Below are 18512 nucleotides of genomic sequence, written 5' to 3' on the forward strand. Positions count from 1 at the left end.
GATGGTGATGGTGGTGAGGTTGGGGAAGGACAAGGTGGTGGTGGTGGTGGTAGTGATGGTAAAGGGGAAGGTGGTGGTTGTGATAGTGGTTGTGATGGTGGTGATGATGGTGGTGGTAATGGTGAAGGATAAGTGTTGATGGAGATGGTGGTAGTGATGATGGTAGTGATGAAAGATAAGTGTTGATAGTGGTGATAATGGAGGTGATGATGATGGTGGTGGAGGTGGTGGTGAACTCTATGGTTCAATTTCTCCCAGACCTTGGTCTGTAAACTAGATATCACTAACAGAAGGGCCATCCAGTGCCCAAGCTGATGAGGCTCACCTGGCCTGGGGGTTCAAGGTTTAGGACAAGACCAGCCAACCCTGCCGTGAAATTTTCCCATTTGAAAGATCGGAAAAGAACTGTGCAGCCTTCCACAAAATTGTGCTGAAGATGAAGTTAATCATCCAGGCCATATTTTTGCCAACTCCAGTCTAGGCCTTTGAACCTCCTCAAAAACCCCTTCTCTCAGGCTATCCCTGGTTCCCTGTGACCCCACACAGCTCCCCATATTCCACAACACCTGTAATGAGGTACCTGACCCAAGCCTGCCCTCCAGGGCAGGACCTCAGACTCTGACCCTCACTTTGTCCTCCTTTAAAACATGTCTATCCTAAGCCCATCCTCCTAGAGCTCAGAGCATATCTGAGTGACTGCTGAATTGCCTTACCATGTCAAACTGTCACTGATGTCAAAGCTATCCAGTCTAATTGAAAGGAATGGCCCTAGTAGTGGAATTTCACACACAATGACAGGTAGATGGACCGTGTGCTTTCAGAGTTTTCAATGAGGAAGAAAGTTTATTTTGAGTGCGTTAAAATCTCACTTTGTCAGCTTCTTGGAATCTAAATGACAGGTGCAAAAAAGAACATGTCAATGTGCTAGAGAAAGGAAGGACCATTCCAAGCACCGGACTGGGTGCCAGAAAGGTAACAACAGTGGGCTAAGACAGACATGGTCCCCACCCTCATGGAGAGGGTGGTCTAGAGCAAGGATCAGCAAACTACCCCCTGCGGGCCCAATCCAGCCCACTGCCTGGACTTGCAAATAAAGTTTTATTGGAACACAGCCACACTCATTCATCTACAGATTGCCCGCAGCTGCTTTCATGCTACAATGGCAAAGTTGAGTGGTGGTGACAAAGACCAAATGACCATAAGGCTACAAATATTTGCTCCCTGCCCTTTACAGAAACAGTTTACCCATCCTGGTCTAGAGGGGCAGCATATGTCAGACAAAGAACCCCACAAATGGTGTGGGGGTGCCCTCTGGCTGTAGAGAAACAGGCTGGAGAGGAACTTTTGATGGGAAGGCCCAGTCTGGCCATGGCACCAGAAATGCCCCAGCAGACCTTGGTCCGTGGACTGGCTATAGGGCCATCCCATGCTCAGACTGAGAAGGCCGGTGTGGCCCCAGGGTTCAGGGTTTAGGGCAGGGCCAACCATGGCTGCCATGAAATTTTCCCATTTGGGAAATTAGGAAAGATCTGTGTAGCATCTGACAAAATTGGATGGGAATGGGGCCAGCTGGGGAATCTCCACTCGGAGCCCCACCCACAACCAGCTGGCTGTGCCCATGGCTCCCAACAATAACTGGGATCTTGAAGTCCTCCAGCATGGCCACTCATAGGGGAAGACACTTGCCCAGGGTCACACTAGGAGACCAGGACAGAGCCCCAGGAGAATGCCGCCCTAGGAAAACCAGCATTCCTGACTCTCAACACAAATGCGAGCTCTGTGTCATACAGGAAAATGTCGTCAATCCACCTGCATCCTTCCCGGTGGGATAATTGTGCCTTGAATCAGCCTCTAAAAAGAATGTCTGACCTCAAGGAAAATCTATGGAGTGAGTCAGGGAAAGTCCGTAGAAAGTGGGGGCTACCTTTCAAGGGCTCGCCCAAGGGTTTCTAGCAGCAGGAAGAACGCCAGGCCTGCTGTCATTTGCCAACAGCATTCACTTGGCCCCTGGCATGGGGCTGGGTCTCCGAGGAACCACAAGGGGTCGTCACGCTGGGAAGAAACAAGGGTGCCTGGAAAAGACAAGGACAGGGCTCCAAGGATCACCTCCGGCTCCTGAGGATGTAATCTGAGGGAAGGAAGTCCCTGTTTATCAAGGTCAGAGCCTGGAGCCTTTGTTTACAGACCTGGCTGGACAATGGGAGCAAGTCCTGAGCCGCCTTCTGAACCCACAAATATGGGTTTTTGGCATTAAGATGTTATGTTTAAATACAGTGATCTTAGAAAACAGGGGTAGGGAGAGTGGAGGCTCCCAGAAACCCATAACCCTCATCTAATCATGAGAGAAACATCAGACAAATTCCAACAGAGGGGCATCCTGCAAAATACGTGACTCATACTCCTCAAACCTGTCGAGGTCATCAGAAACCAATGAAAGTCTAAGAAACTATCACAGCCATGAGGCACTTAAAGAAACATGACACCTCTGTGGAATGTAGTATCCAGTGTGGGATCCTGGAATAGAAAAAAGACATTAGGTAAAAAAAAACTAAGGAACTCTGCATAAACTATGCCCTCTGGTAAATAATAATGCATCCGTATTGGTCCATTAATTATAACAAATGCACCACATTCATGTAAGATGTTCATACTCCGGGAAAAAGAGGAGCAGGCATCTGGAAACTCTCTGCCCTAGTTTCTCAATTTTTCTGTAAATCTGGAACTGTTCTAAAAAATAAAGTCTAGGGAAGAAAAATTGAAGGGAAGGAAAACAGAAACTGGATATTCACATGAAATTGTATGCAGAACTCCAATCACACAGATCCAAGCTGATTTCCTCCCTCCATCCTCCCTGCCCTGGTGGGTCCTAACACACTCACCGAGAGCCCAGTTGGAAGGCCACCATCTTATCCTCACCTTGAGCAACTCACACAGGGCCCCAAACTGTCCCCTTCTCTTTGAGTCTCCACTGTCCTCGCAGGTCACAGGTTACAGAGCTGAGGCATGGCTTCTTGCCTCTAGTCCAGCTGTTCATCATGCATCCTGGCCACTGGGCCTTAGTACCTCCTCATGAACCCACCTGCCCCCTGCACGCCACAGCCTTGCTCCAAGATGCTTGTTGCTGCCCACCTCTCTCCCACCCTGCCCGACCAAGGGGGCAATCCTCACTCCCTGTCTCCACTTCCTCCCCTTCTAGAATCTTCCCTAGGCTGCATCATCTAACTTCCCACCCTATCAACCCCTGTCAGTGCCCTCACTGAGGGCTCCAATGACTGCACTGCTGCTAAACCCTGGGGACACTTTCCAGACCTCATGGGATGTGGCCATACCCTCTGGAATCTCCCTCTTCTTTCTTGAGACCCCAGCCTCTCTTGAGTTCTCTGGAGGAGTCCAGCCTTTTTTTTTTTTTTTTTTTTTTTTGAGTCTGAGTCTCGCTCTGTCACCCAGGCTGGAGTGCAGTGGCGTGATCTTGGCTCACTGCAACCTCTGCCTCCCAGGCTCAAATGATCCTCCTCCCTCAGCCTCCCAAGTAGCTGAGACTACAGCTGGGTGTGCCACCACACCCAGCTAATTTTTTTTTTTTGTATTTTTAATAGAGATGGGGTTTCACCATGTTGGCCAGGCTGGTCTCAAACTTCTGACCTCAAGTGATCCACCCACCTTGGACTCCCAAAGTGCTGGGATTACAGGCATGAGCCACCATGCCCCCCGAGTCCAGCCTTTCTAAAGAGTCCTCACCAGATGCCTTCACACAAAAGCCCTTGCTCTATTTGACTTTAAATAATGTGAGGCAGACTCAGTAGCTCATGCCTGTAATCCCAGCATTCTGAGAGGCCAAGGCAGGAGAATTGCTTGAGCCCAGGAGTTTGACAACAGCCTGGACAACATAGTGAGACCTCATCTCTACAAAAAAATACAAAAATTAGCCGAGCTTGGTGGTGCACACTTGTAGTCCCAGCTACTCCGGAGTACCTGTCTCAAAAAAAAAAAAAAAAAAAAGAGGCTGGGCGTGGTGGCTCACACCTGTAATCACAGCACTTTGGGAGGCCAAGGCAGGCAGATCACTTGAGGTCAGGAGTTTGAGACCAGCCTGGCCAACATGGTGAAACCCTGTCTCTACTAAAAATAGAAAAATTAGCCAGGCACGGTGGCACATGCCTATAATCCCAGCTACTCAGGAGGCTGAGGCAGAATAATCGCTTGAACCCAGGAGGCGGAGGTTGCAGTGAGCCAAGATCGTGCCACTGCACTCCAGCCTGGGCAACAGAGCTAAACTCAAAAAACAAACAAACAAACAAAAAAGCAATGTTGCACTTCCTCAGCATGCCAGCCTCTGAGGCTGCAAACCTAGATCCTGAGAGCCACAATGGGATCTGTACCCTCTGTACTCCTAGTGGGGGCCTGGCACCTCCCAGGCACCAAGTTATATTTTTTAATTGAATAGAATTCTATTTTGGGGACATACTAACCTTCTATGAGAGTATCATTGTATATGCATAGAATACTATTCTATAGGAACTATACCGTTCCTAATATTTTCTGTTTCTATGATTCTTTAAATGGAGATCCTCTAACCTGTGGCTCTATTATTGATAATTATTAGCTAGCATTTATAGAACCCTGTTTGGTGTAAGATGCTTTACATATATTATTTTCCAAATCTTACTCCTTGGGACATGAACAGTACATGTTACACAGAAAAATGGTTCTGTGGTCTAAGAAGTATGGAAAATCCTGAGTTACACAAAGCTCACTGGAGTTCTTTTCTGCAGAGCTGTACATTGTAAATCTCCAAGAAGAGAATATTTTATGCACCATTTTCTGTACTGGGCCCAGGGGTGTGCTGATATATGTTTGACAACTGGCTGTCCAGGGGAAAAGTTCTGATGCGTAGCACTTGCCAATTTCCATGGTGTAAATATTCTCACCATGTCTCATTTCAAGCTATCAATGTGATGTCATCGAAGGCCAAGACAAGACAGGAGAAGATCCTCATGAGCACATCATTATGTAGCATTTCCATCATACAGATACCATAAACACAGATAACCTCAAAACACAGTCAAAGGTAGCAAAACAATTAGGAAGCGATGAATTCTGAGAATTCGTTGTTTTTCATGATTTATTTAATTGTAAGTTCATATAATTTAATTTGTAATAGTGGCTGTATTTAACAATCAGCTCACAAATATTCCTGAAAATTTAAGCTGGTTCTTGAAAGCCAAGCTGATACAATCCAGCGCCAGCACACCACTGGCTAGGACCCCATCTTTGCGTGGAACAGCAGAAGAGTTCAGTGTTTCCCAGAACTCATCTTCAAAAGTGCTGTTCTACTCCTCAGAGCAAAGCAACATCAGAAGCAATATTTCCATTTTACAAATGAGGCAACTAAAACTTAGAGAGGTTAAGTGACTTCTACAGGGCAAAAATATCCTTTGCCTTCCAATGGCACCAGGTATATTTTTTCCACTCAAAAAATGTTTTCTAAGCACCTACTCTGTTCAGGCACCATTCTAGGCATGCTGGGGCTCTGCCAGGCAACTCACACCATGAGAACAACTCATTGGTGACTAGTCAGAGGTTCTTTTTTTTTTTTGGCTTTTTAAAAATTTTATTTTCAGGGGTACATGTCCATGTTTGTTACATGTATATTGCATATTCGTGGGGATTGGGCTTCTAGCATACCCATTACCCAAATAGTGAACATTATGGCCAATAGGTTATTTGTCTACCCTCGCCCTCATCCCAACCTCCCCTCTTTTGGAGTCTCCAGTGTCTATTATTTCCATTTTTATGGCCATATGTACCAATTGTTTAGCTCCTACTTATAAGTGAGAATATGTGGTATTGGATTTGTTGCTTCTGGGTTAGTTCACTTAGGTTCATTTAGGATTATGGCCTGCAGCTCTATCCATGTTCCTGCAAAGGACATGATTTTATTCTTTTTTATGGCTGCCAGAGGTTCTTGATAAAAAATCTCAGTATCATATTTAGGGACCCTGGCCAGCACCACACACACCACATACACACATGCACAGGCACACCTGTGTACACACACTCTCACTCACACACTCACACACAGCCACTGCCGCCCATTCCCAGCTCACGTCACCTCTTCTTTTCTAGATCAAGTCAAGCGTGAGTCGCAAGAATGCCAAGTACCTGCTCAAAGGAGAATATGTGGGCAAGGTCTTCCGGGTCGATGCAGAGACAGGAGACGTGTTCGCCATTGAGAGGCTGGACCGGGAGAATATCTCAGAGTACCACCTCACTGCTGTCATTGTGGACAAGGACACTGGCGAAAACCTGGAGACTCCTTCCAGCTTCACCATCAAAGTTCATGACGTGAACGACAACTGGCCTGTGTTCACGCATCGGTTGTTCAATGCGTCCGTGCCTGAGTCGTCGGCTGTGGGTACGTTGCATGCCCACTCTGTCCTCCTCCCTCCCTCATCCCCAGCCTGGGGGCACCTCTCACATCAGCCACTTCACTGCCTGGGGTAGGAATCCAGTGAGTTCAGGGTAGTGATTGTAATGCCTGTGTTGCCACTTTACATGATTTGAAAGAAACTCTAGTTCCTAACAAGCTCTGATCTGGCCACAGGCTGAGCTCTGACCCTAGTCATAGACCAAGCCCTGATCCTAATCATGGACTGAGCCCTGACTACAGTCATAAACTTGGCCCTGATCCTGATCCTGGACTGAGCCCTGATCCTGATCATGGGTTGAACCCTGACACTGGTCACAGACCAAGCCCTGATCCTGATCGTGGACTGAGCCCTGACCCTAGTCATAAACTTAGCCCTGATCCTGATCATGGACTGAGCCCTGCCCCTAGTCATAGACTGAGCCCTGATTCTGATCATGGACTGAGTCCTGACCCTAGTCATAGACTGTGCCCTGATTTTGATCATGAACTCACCCCTGGCCATCAGAGGCATATCTCACTACTCTTTGGAACAAACTTCACTCACTTCCTCTGACTGTCAGGACTAGCACACCAAGAGTGTAGCCTTTACATGTGACGACTGTCATGGCCTGCCACTAAGGCAAAAGGATTCATCTCTAGGGGCCATGCAGGAGTGGTGTGGGGGACAGAGCACTAGCCCCAAGGTATGTCACCAGCCTGGGCTCTGGGCTCAGGAGGTTACTACTCCACCTCTTCAGTACACCTCAGACTCCAGAGGGTGCCAGAAAAGAGCTTCCCTCTTCAGTCCAGAGTCTCCAGCCAGGGCCCTGGGACCAGACCTTCGGGTTGAGTGTGAGATCCTGGAGTTCAAGGGGATGCAAGAAATGACACCACTCCTTTGGGGGCACCTTTCCAGGAGAGGGAGAAGCAGCTCATTGCTGTCCTCCATTTCTCTCCCTGACCCCAACCCTCCGCCCCCTCCCTCATTTCCCCAGGAAGCACACAAACCACCTGATCTCTTTGACCCCTTCAAGGTTGACCTGGCTGGGCCCCCACTGCCACCAGCACTTTGCCCCCATGCAGGCTCCTCAGAAAACAAAACAGCCTTTTATTCCCAGGACCTGGGGGAGGTGGGGACAGAGCACAGCCTGAGCCCCATCTGCTCTGTTCCAGGAATGGGGTAAGGGGCCTAGCAGTCACAAGTCAGCAACCCCAGGATTCTCTCTCTGCAGGGACCTCAGTCATCTCTGTGACAGCAGTGGATGCAGACGACCCCACTGTGGGAGACCACGCCTCTGTCATGTACCAAATCCTGAAGGGGAAAGAGTATTTTGCCATCGATAATTCTGGTCTGTGTGACTAACACTCCTGGACAGTCACTGATTTGGAGGGACAAGGGGAGGTGGATACTCCAGGTGCATGTGCTAAGGGAAGTCCAGTCTGACAGGTGTCACTAGCTACTGAACCACACTGTACCATGGAAGTAGTCAGTATCATATGTAAAGACAAGGCGGCTGGTCAAGGGAGAAGGAAGCAGGCAGGTGCCCAAGAGGTGGACTCAAGTCCAGGGAACAAAATCAGGATCTTGTTACCCAAGAAGTGGCCAAGGGGCAGCAGAGGATGGTGGCTAGCCGCTCTGGGTGCAGGTTCAGACAGATCTGGTTTCCAAAGCCAGCTCTGCCACTCACCCCCTCTAGAGACCTTGGACAAATCAACTAACTTCTGCAAGCCTTAGTTCCCTCATCTAGGAGGTAGGAATGCTTATATTTATATCGTATGGTAGCTGTAAAGTTTGAGTTAGATCATGTATAAAGGCAGCAAGGCCCATAGTAATTGCTTATGTGATGACTTAACAAAAAATATAAGGACTGACTCTTGGGAGCAAGAAAGAAGTCCAGTGGAACTGTCTTTCAGAGAGATGGCAAATACATAGCACAGATGCCACTACTATGCTACAGTGCACCAAGGCAGACATCACTAATCTATCACAGCACTCTTTCCATCTGAGCCTAGATATGGCCTCATGGTCTTTGTCAACACAATATTTCAGGTGGCGAGGACCAATACCGAACCCAACTATTGGGCCAGCTTTGGCCTCACAGTATAGGCTATGGAGGTAGTGGGTTGTAGACTCACAGTTCTCAGCCCCATTTGCACAGTGGAATCACCAGGGAAGCTCTTAAGTCAGGTTCTCTCTGGGCAGGCCCTAGGCATCGGTATTTTCTAGAAGCTGGTAACATGGTTCCTGCTGGGAATCTTTTTGCAGGACGTATTATCACAATAACGAAAAGCTTGGACCGAGAGAAGCAGGCCAGGTATGAGATCGTGGTGGAAGCGCGAGATGCCCAGGGCCTCCGGGGGGACTCGGGCACGGCCACCGTGCTGGTCACTCTGCAAGACATCAATGACAACTTCCCCTTCTTCACCCAGAGTGAGCCCCTCCTCTAGGGCCCTGGGAAGGGGGGCTGGGATACCCCAGACTCAGTGACTTGGGGCTCTGGGAAAAGAGTTACAAATCACTTTACCTCTCCCTCTATCCCAGGGTAGGCCTGATGCCCAAAGGAGTCCTTTGGGTGAAGGGAGGGGCCCTGCTTCCATCCCAATACCACATTCCCAAGGCCATCCTGCCGCCCCCTGCCACAATCCCCTCATAGGCCAGAGGGAAATCCCACTCCCTGCTGGGTGCCACCACTGTACTGTGTCCCACCATGAGACACAAGCAGTTTCACCCAGATCCCATGGGCTTGGGAAAATCAAAGCCCTGAGACTCAGGTCCCAGCTAGAAATTCCCACAAGCCAGTGAACATGGGGACAGCAAAGTTCTATATCCAGAGCCAGGGCTGGGCCCTGACCCCACCTACACACTGATCCACCCCACAGAGAATGTCTAATGAGAGCTTTTCCCATGCCTGGGGCAGATGGCTCTCCACTTGCAACTCCCAGTGCTGATACTGTCATTCAGTTGTTCAGCCACCCTAGAGACAGGCCAATTGTCCTGAAGTGGCTTCCTCGTACATGGCATAAGCTCCCTGAAGGCAGGACTTGTCTCTCTTGTCCATTGATAGGTCCCCTAGCAAAGTGCCTGGCATACAATAGGTGCTCAATAGCTATTTATTGGATGGAGGGATGGATGGATGGACATACAGATAGGGAAGACCCTCTTTACCTTGAGAATCCCAGGGGTATTATTATTTATGATTATTTTATTATGCCCATTTCTTTTATCAAAATATGTTAGAATAGCTGAAAGAGGCAATCGCCTTGTCTATCTCATTAACCCAAAGCCCTTTGGGGTGCTCTGTTTGCATCAGCCAAGTACACATTTGTCGTGCCTGAAGACACCCGTGTGGGCACCTCTGTGGGCTCTCTGTTTGTTGAGGACCCAGATGAGCCCCAGAACCGGATGACCAAGTACAGCATCTTGCGGGGCGACTACCAGGACGCTTTCACCATTGAGACAAACCCCGCCCACAACGAGGGCATCATCAAGCCCATGAAGGTTTGTAGGCCAATGGCAACAATGTCAAACGTGAGGCTTGGGGCTCTTGGCACCCACAGGTCCTGCTTGGGGATTGCTCCTGGGCCAGAGACCATCAAAGGACCATCAAAGCTCCAAGGTGGTCATGTGTTCATGGAGACTGTGATCCAGTGTCTTAGGCCGAGTTACTTGGGAAGCAAATCTTAAGGCCATGACTGGGTGTAAATTGTTTATCTGGGAGGTGATCCCAGGAAGCCCCAGGAGCAATGACCCACTGCGGGGTAAGTGTGGAACACATCCCAGAGTTGGAGAAGCTGAGGGTGAAGGAGCTGGGGTATTTATACACCCGCTGTCCGTGGTGTTGACTGGGGGCTGCCCCTGGAGTTATTACCTCTCTGGCACTTTCTGGCCTGCCATGTGTCCTGGCCAGTAGAAATCCATCAGCATGAAGAAAACAGTGAGTAATTGTGGTGACATGGATGGCCACTGACACTGGATGCTGCTGACAGCCAGAGAAGCCAGATTAACTGAATCTGGAAGAGGAGGGAGAGGTCCTGTGAGGGGCATAAAAAATGCCTCTGGAATGGCCATGCAGAGGATTGCAAGTCCTGGGCCTGAGTCCTTCTCTGAACCAGCCCCATGCTGGGGCTTGGAAACACCAAGGAGAGGCAGACACAGCCTCCAGTGTCAGCAAAGGTCTCAGCGAATGGGGAAGACATATGCATGAACAAAAAAAGTACAGCCAGGTGTAAGTGATACACAGCAGCTCTGAACAGGGAGCAATTACCTCTGCTAGGAGGGGTTTCTGAGAGAGCATCTGATTACCTTCTGCTTGGCTTCCTGAGGGATGAGTAGGAGTTTTCTAGGCAGGCAAGGGCAGGAGAAGGATCTTGAGCAAAGGCATAAAGAAAAAGCATGTCCGGCCGGGCCCGGTGGTTCACGCCTCTAATCCCAGCACTTTGTGAGGCCGAGGCAGGTGGATCACCTGAGGTCAGGAGTTTGAGACCAGCCTGGCCAATATGGTGAAACCCCGTCTCTACTAAAAATACCAAAATTAGCTGGGCGTGGTGGCAGGTGCCTGTAATCCCAGCTACTTGGAAGGCTGAGGCAGGAGAATCGCTTGAACCTGGGAGGTGGAAGTTGTAGTGAGCGGAGGTCGTGCCATTGCACTCCAATCTGGGTACCAAGAGCAATATTCTGTCTCAAGAACAAAGAAAAAGCCTGTCCTTAAGGACCTGTGGGTAGAACCACTAGTGACGCTCTTAAGAGCAGGACCATAGTTGATCCATTCTATGTCCCAAACGCTGGAAATAGGGCCAGGCACACAGCCAGGGTTGTGGGTGTGGCCATGAGGCTGCTGAGATGAAATGGGGAGCAGCTGAAGACAGACACCAGGCCCAGCCGCTGTCTTGATGACCTCAGAAATATCACTTGTCGAGGCCATGGGCCCCTCATCTATAAAATGGGTGTCATCCTGGTACTACCTTGCATAGTTGCTGTGCAGATCATGTGCCACACACATGCTTGGCCCAGAGCAGGCACTCACCATCCTTTTTCCTTACGCAGCCTCTGGATTATGAATACATCCAGCAATACAGCTTCATCGTCGAGGCCACAGACCCCACCATCGACCTCCGATACATGAGCCCTCCCGCGGGAAACAGAGCCCAGGTCATTATCAACATCACAGATGTGGACGAGCCCCCCATTTTCCAGCAGCCTTTCTACCACTTCCAGCTGAAGGAAAACCAGAAGAAGCCTCTGATTGGCACAGTGCTGGCCATGGACCCTGATGCGGCTAGGCATAGCATTGGGTAAGGGGGCGTGTGTCGATGAGAATGATAAGGACAATCCGGCCTGGATGTTCCTATGCCTGCTGGTCTGAGGCCAGGACTCAGAGAGGGGAACTGGCTTCTCCTAGCACTTACAGGGAAAGTGACAGAGGCAAGACCAGAAGCCCAAGCTCTTGCACTTGGCAGCCTGGCATCTTGACCTGCCTGGACTCCCCCACCTAGCATGGTCCTGGGCATCCAGAGCTACTTGTCCTCTGTCCGGCCTTGAAGGCTTATTCTCTGCACCACAGCTCTCACCAGTCCTATGTGGTAAGATCTGACAGTCAAGAAAGCAACCAATCAGACGACACACCAGAGGCCCCTTCACTAAAACTGTATTCTTGAATCTATCTTCCCCAAACCACAAAAGTAAGAAGTGTTCATTTTATACAGTGAAACAACACAGAGATCTACCAAGAAAACACTGATAACCCCCACTCTCAGATAACTCATGTTCGTGGCCTAACCTGGTCCTATTGCTCCTTTCTTTTCGTGACCACACAAACATGTGGATGCATTTATGGTGGGTTTGTTGTTGTCTGTTTGCTTTTGATGTTTGATTGTTTTAAAATTTTTTTGGATCATGCCATGCTGGTTTCATCGATATTTGCTCTTCTATCTTAACTAAATTTCTCTTTTACAATCTTTAGAAAAAAATGATATAGTTCCAACAGATACTTTTTAGAGCCATATAATATGCAATAGTAAGTATAAATTCAATTCAATCTTATTTTATTGTAGATGCATAGCTGATTTTGCCAGCACCATTTACTAAATATTATAATAATAAGTCATCGTTTTCCCACCTTCATTATATACTAAGTTTTCTGTATATACCTGTATCTACTTCTAATTCTCTGTCCTATCCATCATTCTATAGCAAAGCTATTCTGTTTTATTCTACTAGCTTGTATAAGTCCATTCTCCTATAAAGAAATAGTTAAGACTGGGTAATTTATAAAGAAAAGAGGTTTAACAGGAAGTATAGTGGCTTCTCCTTCTGGGGAGGCCTCAGAAAACTTACAGTCCTGGGGAAGCAGGCACGTCTTACACGGCCAGAACAGGAGTGGGAAGGGAGTTGTTACACACTTTTCAACAACCTGGTCTCATGATAACTCACTAGCTTGAGAACAGAACCTAGGGGATGGAGCTAACCCATTCATGAGAACTCTGTCCCATGGTCTATCCACCTCCCACCAGGGCCCACCTCCAACACTGGGGATTACATTTCAACATGAGATTCGGTGGGGACACAGATCCAAACCATATAGCTTTACACTAGATCTTAGATATACATAAAAGTCCTTCCCATGTTGCTTTTTTATTTGATATAATTTTTTGTCAACTCTCATTTTTTCTTTTGTGAAATTTAAAATTTTGTATCCAGGTTTTTTAAACATTAGAATTCTAGTGTTTATATATTAATTTTGGTATAGCTAATGTTTCAAGGGTATTAAGTCTTCTTATTAAGGACAAAATATGTTCTTCCATTTTGGCCTCATATCCTAAGTTTTGGGACTACTCTTCATTGCCATTCTTTTCTAAATAGCCTGTAATTATAATTTTTGTTTCTCCTTTGATCCAAGGGTTTATTTAAGAGATTGACTTGATTTCTTTATTTTCATTTATAAGTCATAGGGTGTTTTTTTTGTTTTGCTTTAGCTTGTTCTGTGATGTGATACAATTGTATTTGTGTCCACTTCTTCCTAGAATATCTAAGTTTTGACTTTATGTATTTAAATTTTTCTATTCAGTTAACAAAGGTTTGCAACTATTTTACCTTCATTATGGTTTGTAACTTTCATCCAAATGTAATTAGCCAATTTGTTCTGCTTAAATATTTTGCCTTTAATTCTGTTTCCTGATGTTACATTTGTTAGTCCTGTTTTCATGTTATTCATATACGCCTAATGCAAATTTTACAACCTTTACTTTTAATTTTTCCAGGTCATTTGGCATTAAGTTGTCTCTTGAAAACAAGAATGCATTTGGCTTTGCTTTTTAATCTAAACTGAAATGCTTTGTGTTTAACCTATTTACATTTTTCATCATAATTGATATGTTTGATGTTCCTTCTTTTATCTTGTTTTACATTTCTCATTTATCAAATTTAATGGCTTTTTTCTTTTTCCTCATCTTTGCTATACAGTCTATGTTTCTTTATTTTTTTTTTCTCCTAGATATTTGGATGAGGTGCATCCATTTTTATTTCTACCAGTGAGATTTACTTCTATCTGCAAAATTTAAAATGTTTTCTTGGACCTATATTTTCTAGTTAAAACTATTATAGACATACACACACCCATTGCTTTTCTATGTATGATAAAAAAAATCAATAGTTTTGTTTTAATTCTTCCCATGCCAGGTTTTTACTTTATATTGAGATGTTTAGTTAGATACAGTAAGTTTTCAAAAAAAAATTCAGGACACAAATATCTTAGTTCTTTGCCTTTTTTGGGGGGTGGGGGGGACAGGTTCTTCCTCTGTCACCCAGGCTAGAGTGCAGTGGCACAACCATAGCTCACTACAGCCTTGAACATCTAGGCTGAAGCAACCCTCCCACCTCAGCCTCTGAGTATCTGGGACTACAGGCACACACCACCACACCAGGCTAATCTTTTTTTTTTTTTTTTTTTTTTTTTTTTTTTTTTTTTTTTTTTTTGGTGAGACAGGGTCTCACTCTGTCACCTGGGCTGGGCTGGTCTTGAACTCCTGGCCTCAAGCAAACCTCCAGCTTCAGCCTCTCCCAAAGCACTCAAATTACAGATGTGAGCCACCATGCCCAACCTTGCCTTCTAATAACACCTAGATGTATTCGTATAATCCTCAGATTATAAACACTTCCCTTCAAAAATACTATCAATGTATTCTAGTATTTAATTTTGTGGGGGCATCTGAGGCAAATCTGATTTTTCTTTCCTCATAAGGAAATTATTTCTTTCTGTCTGGACTCTTTTCAGTTTCTTCACACAGCCTTGAAATTCGTAAGTGTCGTCAGGATTTGCCTAAGTATTGGGGTTTTTTTCAATGATGCCTGATGTCAATGACATCTTATAATGTGTAGACTCAAGCCTTTCTTCAGATCAGGAAACTTTTCTTTTCTTTTTTTTTTTTTTTTTTTTTGTTATTTCTTCTGTTCTGTTTGTTCTGGGATTTTCCTCATTAATAGCAACTATTATTCCTATATACACAAAACATATATATTTATCTTTCCATAGATTTTTCCTGATTTCTGAAAGAACTTTTTAAGTTTTTTATTTCACAAAGTTAATTTCTTTGTAATTACTTCTTATCTCTTCCAGCTCTTTTTGTATTCCTTCCTGGCTCTTGCCCAATGATCTTTTCATTAATCACTAAAACAAGTCCCAGCTATGGTGTGATGTCACCTGTTCAGCTCTGAAAGTGCATCTGATGGTCTCAGGTACCACCTCCAGTCCAGTGATGGCAATGTAACTAAGATCAAAGACATTATCTTGCTATCCTGAATCCCTCTGTGTAGGTCCACTCTTGTCTGAGTGGCAGAGTGCAATGAGCAGTGAGAGAGGGGCATGGAGTGGGATGCAGGGGACAGATGCAGAAGGGCCTTGTCCATCATGCTGAGGAGTGTAGACTCAGCAAAGAACAATGGAAAGCCATGAAACTCTCTCCCCTGGGCAGATACTCCATCCGCAGGACCAGTGACAAGGGCCAGTTCTTCCGAGTCACAAAAAAGGGGGACATTTACAATGAGAAAGAACTGGACAGAGAAGTCTACCCCTGGTATAACCTGACTGTGGAGGCCAAAGAACTGGATTCCACTGGTGAGTGGCCACATCTGCCAGGGCACCTGGATTCTTTTCCTTTTCCCTCATTCTTCCAAAACTGGCATAATCAATAATTTGGGGTCTCTAGACGTATTAGAAGTGCCTGCTGAAGCACCCGCTGGTTGGGATGCTATAGAGCTCCCATGCCCAAGTGTGGTCCTTGAACCCAGCAGTATCAACATCCCCTGAGACCTTGTTGCATCTCGGGCCTCACCCCCACACTGAATCGGAATCTCATGCATGTCACAGTTTGAAAACCACTGTCATGAAACAGGCTGTGCAGATGTCTCTGTGACGAGAATCACCCAAGTCACCTATTAAGCATAAAGCTCTACTCCACCCTGCAGGTTCTGGTCCAGTGAGCCAGAGATGTGCATTTAACAAGGGTCCCATGATTCTTAGTTATCATGGCTGTTTGGGAAATGTTCCTTCAGAGGGTGTTTATGCACCAGTTAATAGGTAGAATTCAAAATGTGAAGCAGCTTCCAATTTTGAGATTGTGAGTTTCTCTAGAAATTGTGTAATTTTTGCCAGAGGGAGGGGCAAGAGTTGGAGTTTTGCATCCTCTATCTATATTAGAAAATCACAATCACCCTCCAGGAGAACTATTAATACTCCCACTTTACCCAGGAGCCCGCTAGGCCAAGGATCCCTGGCGCCTGCCGGGCCCACCCAGACTCACTTCTGCCAACACAGCTGCTGCCCCAAACTGTAATGGACTCCTGCATGTTTGGCCAGATCAGTCTTTGCTTCTTTCTCCTCCACATAATCCCATTCATAGACTCTTTACATTTAAATGGTTTAAAATACGGAAAATACAGAAAATGAGAAGAAAATACTCCTCCCACCAATGCCACCATGCAGAGACAGTTACTATTAGCACATTCATGTATTTTTATTTTTATACATATTTTTATACTTACATGAGATTGTAATGTTTGTGTAAGATATTATATTCCACATTTTTACTTAACCTTTACTTAACCTTATTCCAGAACCACTTTCTCATGGTACTAATTTTTTTTTTAAGAGAGAAACAGGGTCTCACTCTGTTGTCCAGGATGAAGTGCAGTGGCACGATCACAGCTCACTGCAGCCTCTAATTCCTGAGTTCAAATGATCCTCCCACCTCAGCCTCCTGAGCAGCTGGGACTACAGGCGTGCACCACATTGCCCAGCAAATGTCTTAATTTTTTTTGTAGAGATGGGGTCTCACCATGTTTCCCAGGCTTGTCTCCAACTCTGGGCCCCAAGCAATCCTCCCTTCTAGGCCTTTCAAAGTATGAAATTACAGGGGTGAGCCACAGCACCTGGCCTTAAAATTTTTTTTAATTATATGTTTAAGATGTAAGTGACATAGGCATTGTCAGTGGCCATCCATTTCAGTCTTTTCCGGTAGCCTAGTTTACTGACCCAATCTCACTTAGGTTGTTTACCTTTTCAATTCTTTTATGATTAATTTATTATGTTTTATGTATTTAATCAAATAATTAAATTTTTAATTTTAGGAATTTAATTACAATTTTTTTAATGCACTTAGGTGGTTTACCTTTTTGATTCTCATAATCAAAGTAATACCTCAGTAAACCTTATGGATGAGATTTAACACCTCCCCCCACCAAACTCCTTTTATCCAGAACACCATCCTGGGCCTCTGTTCCACAGCCTCCTCCTGCAAAAAGTGGCCTCCATAGGGCAGCCCTCCTTCCACACATCTTCCACCGCCCAAGGCCAGCATCAGCTGAGCCCATAATGGTGACAGTCTTCTCCCCTGCAGGAACCCCCACAGGAAAAGAATCCATTGTGCAAGTCCACATTGAAGTTTTGGATGAGAATGACAATGCCCCGGAGTTTGCCAAGCCCTACCAGCCCAAAGTGTGTGAGAACGCTGTCCATGGCCAGGTGAGTCTGGTTCAGGTGGGAGGGGAAGGCAGCACCACCCTGGGGCAGGCTGGGGGGCAGAACTGCTCAACAGAGTCAGCAGGAGTTCCCCTGTACAATAGCCTTGAGGAAAATAACATTATGCCCATTTTACAGATGGAGAAACTGAGGCTCAGAGGGAATATATGGGGAGTAGATTGGCGGGGCAGGGAAGTAGAAAGAATGGCTTTATGAAGAACTAAATAGGTGAGTGTTGCAGGTGGGAAACAGCCATGGTCAGGACTTAAACCCAAAGGCTCCATCGCTAAACCTCAGACCACCCCACCACCCCACCACCATCACTGACCATCTCCTGTCTTCCACACTCCAGCTGGTCCTGCAGATCTCCGCAATAGACAAGGACATAACACCACGAAACGTGAAGTTCAAATTCATCTTGAATACTGAGAACAACTTTACCCTCACGGATAATCACGGTAGGCATCAAAGTAATCAGTTCAGCTGGGCGTGATGACCCACACCTGTAGTCTCAGCTACTCAGGAGGCTGAGGCAGGAAGATCGCTTGAGCCCAGGAGTTTGAGGCTGCAGTGAGCTATGATCACATCACTGCACTCCAGCCCGGGCGACAGAGCGAGACCCCGTCTCCAAAAAAAGAACAAATGCAGTCAGTTGGCTCTAACAGGGTCGGGGTGAGGTTATTTGAGTCTTGAGGCACCAAGGTCAAAGACCAGGCCAACAAATTGAGGGCAGGCTCCCACTGGGATTTTCAAATCATTAGATATTTTGTACAATTTCTGCCACATACATTGTACAATTGGTCTATGCAATGGTCAGAGACACTCCATCCAAACTCCCAAGTCCACGTCGCCTGCAAGGAGCCAGCGAGGAGTACAGAACAGATGTGAGGATGCAGGCAGTCAGCTCAGTTCAAGAACTAGCCAAGGAGTCCCCTCCCATACTGGAGGCTCTATGGGTCAGCAAAACTGCACATTAAACATGGAACTTTGAGGTCATTCCCAAAGAGTCAAAACTGGAAATGTGAAATCCTAAATCCCAAGGATCCAGTGAGCTTTGTTTTAATTCAGCTACAACGATTACTCACGATTAG

General features: G+C 46.3%; 1 protein-coding gene across 5 annotated transcripts in view, besides 1 other annotated feature; it reads left to right on the top strand.

The window, feature by feature from the left end:
• Nucleotides 1–18512, top strand: part of CDH5 (cadherin 5) — a 38094-nt gene that overhangs the window by 13992 nt on the left and 5590 nt on the right. For 3 of the 5 annotated variants that reach the window (XM_047433470.1, XM_047433469.1, XM_011522801.3), the window contains 8 exons: nucleotides 6127–6415; nucleotides 7642–7758; nucleotides 8676–8840; nucleotides 9694–9908; nucleotides 11454–11701; nucleotides 15377–15519; nucleotides 17300–17424; nucleotides 17774–17879. In XM_047433470.1, the coding sequence (XP_047289426.1) occupies nucleotides 6127–6415; nucleotides 7642–7758; nucleotides 8676–8840; nucleotides 9694–9908; nucleotides 11454–11701; nucleotides 15377–15519; nucleotides 17300–17424; nucleotides 17774–17879 (1408 nt within the window). The remainder of the gene's footprint in view (nucleotides 1–6126; nucleotides 6416–7641; nucleotides 7759–8675; nucleotides 8841–9693; nucleotides 9909–11453; nucleotides 11702–15376; nucleotides 15520–17299; nucleotides 17425–17773; nucleotides 17880–18512) is intronic. The other 2 variants (XM_047433471.1, NM_001795.5) reach the window with 1 other exon arrangement.
• Nucleotides 2517–3041: an enhancer, noted in NCBI's record as "H3K27ac-H3K4me1 hESC enhancer chr16:66417102-66417626 (GRCh37/hg19 assembly coordinates)". NCBI's record gives its function as "activates a minimal SCP1, AML or CMV promoter by ChIP-STARR-seq in naive H9 embryonic stem cells {active_cell/tissue: H9 hESC(naive)}" and the evidence as "EXISTENCE:reporter gene assay evidence [ECO:0000049][PMID:30033119]".

The sequence above is a fragment of the Homo sapiens genome, chromosome 16 (assembly GCF_000001405.40).
Source record: "Homo sapiens chromosome 16, GRCh38.p14 Primary Assembly".
Lineage (NCBI taxonomy): Eukaryota > Metazoa > Chordata > Mammalia > Primates > Hominidae > Homo > Homo sapiens.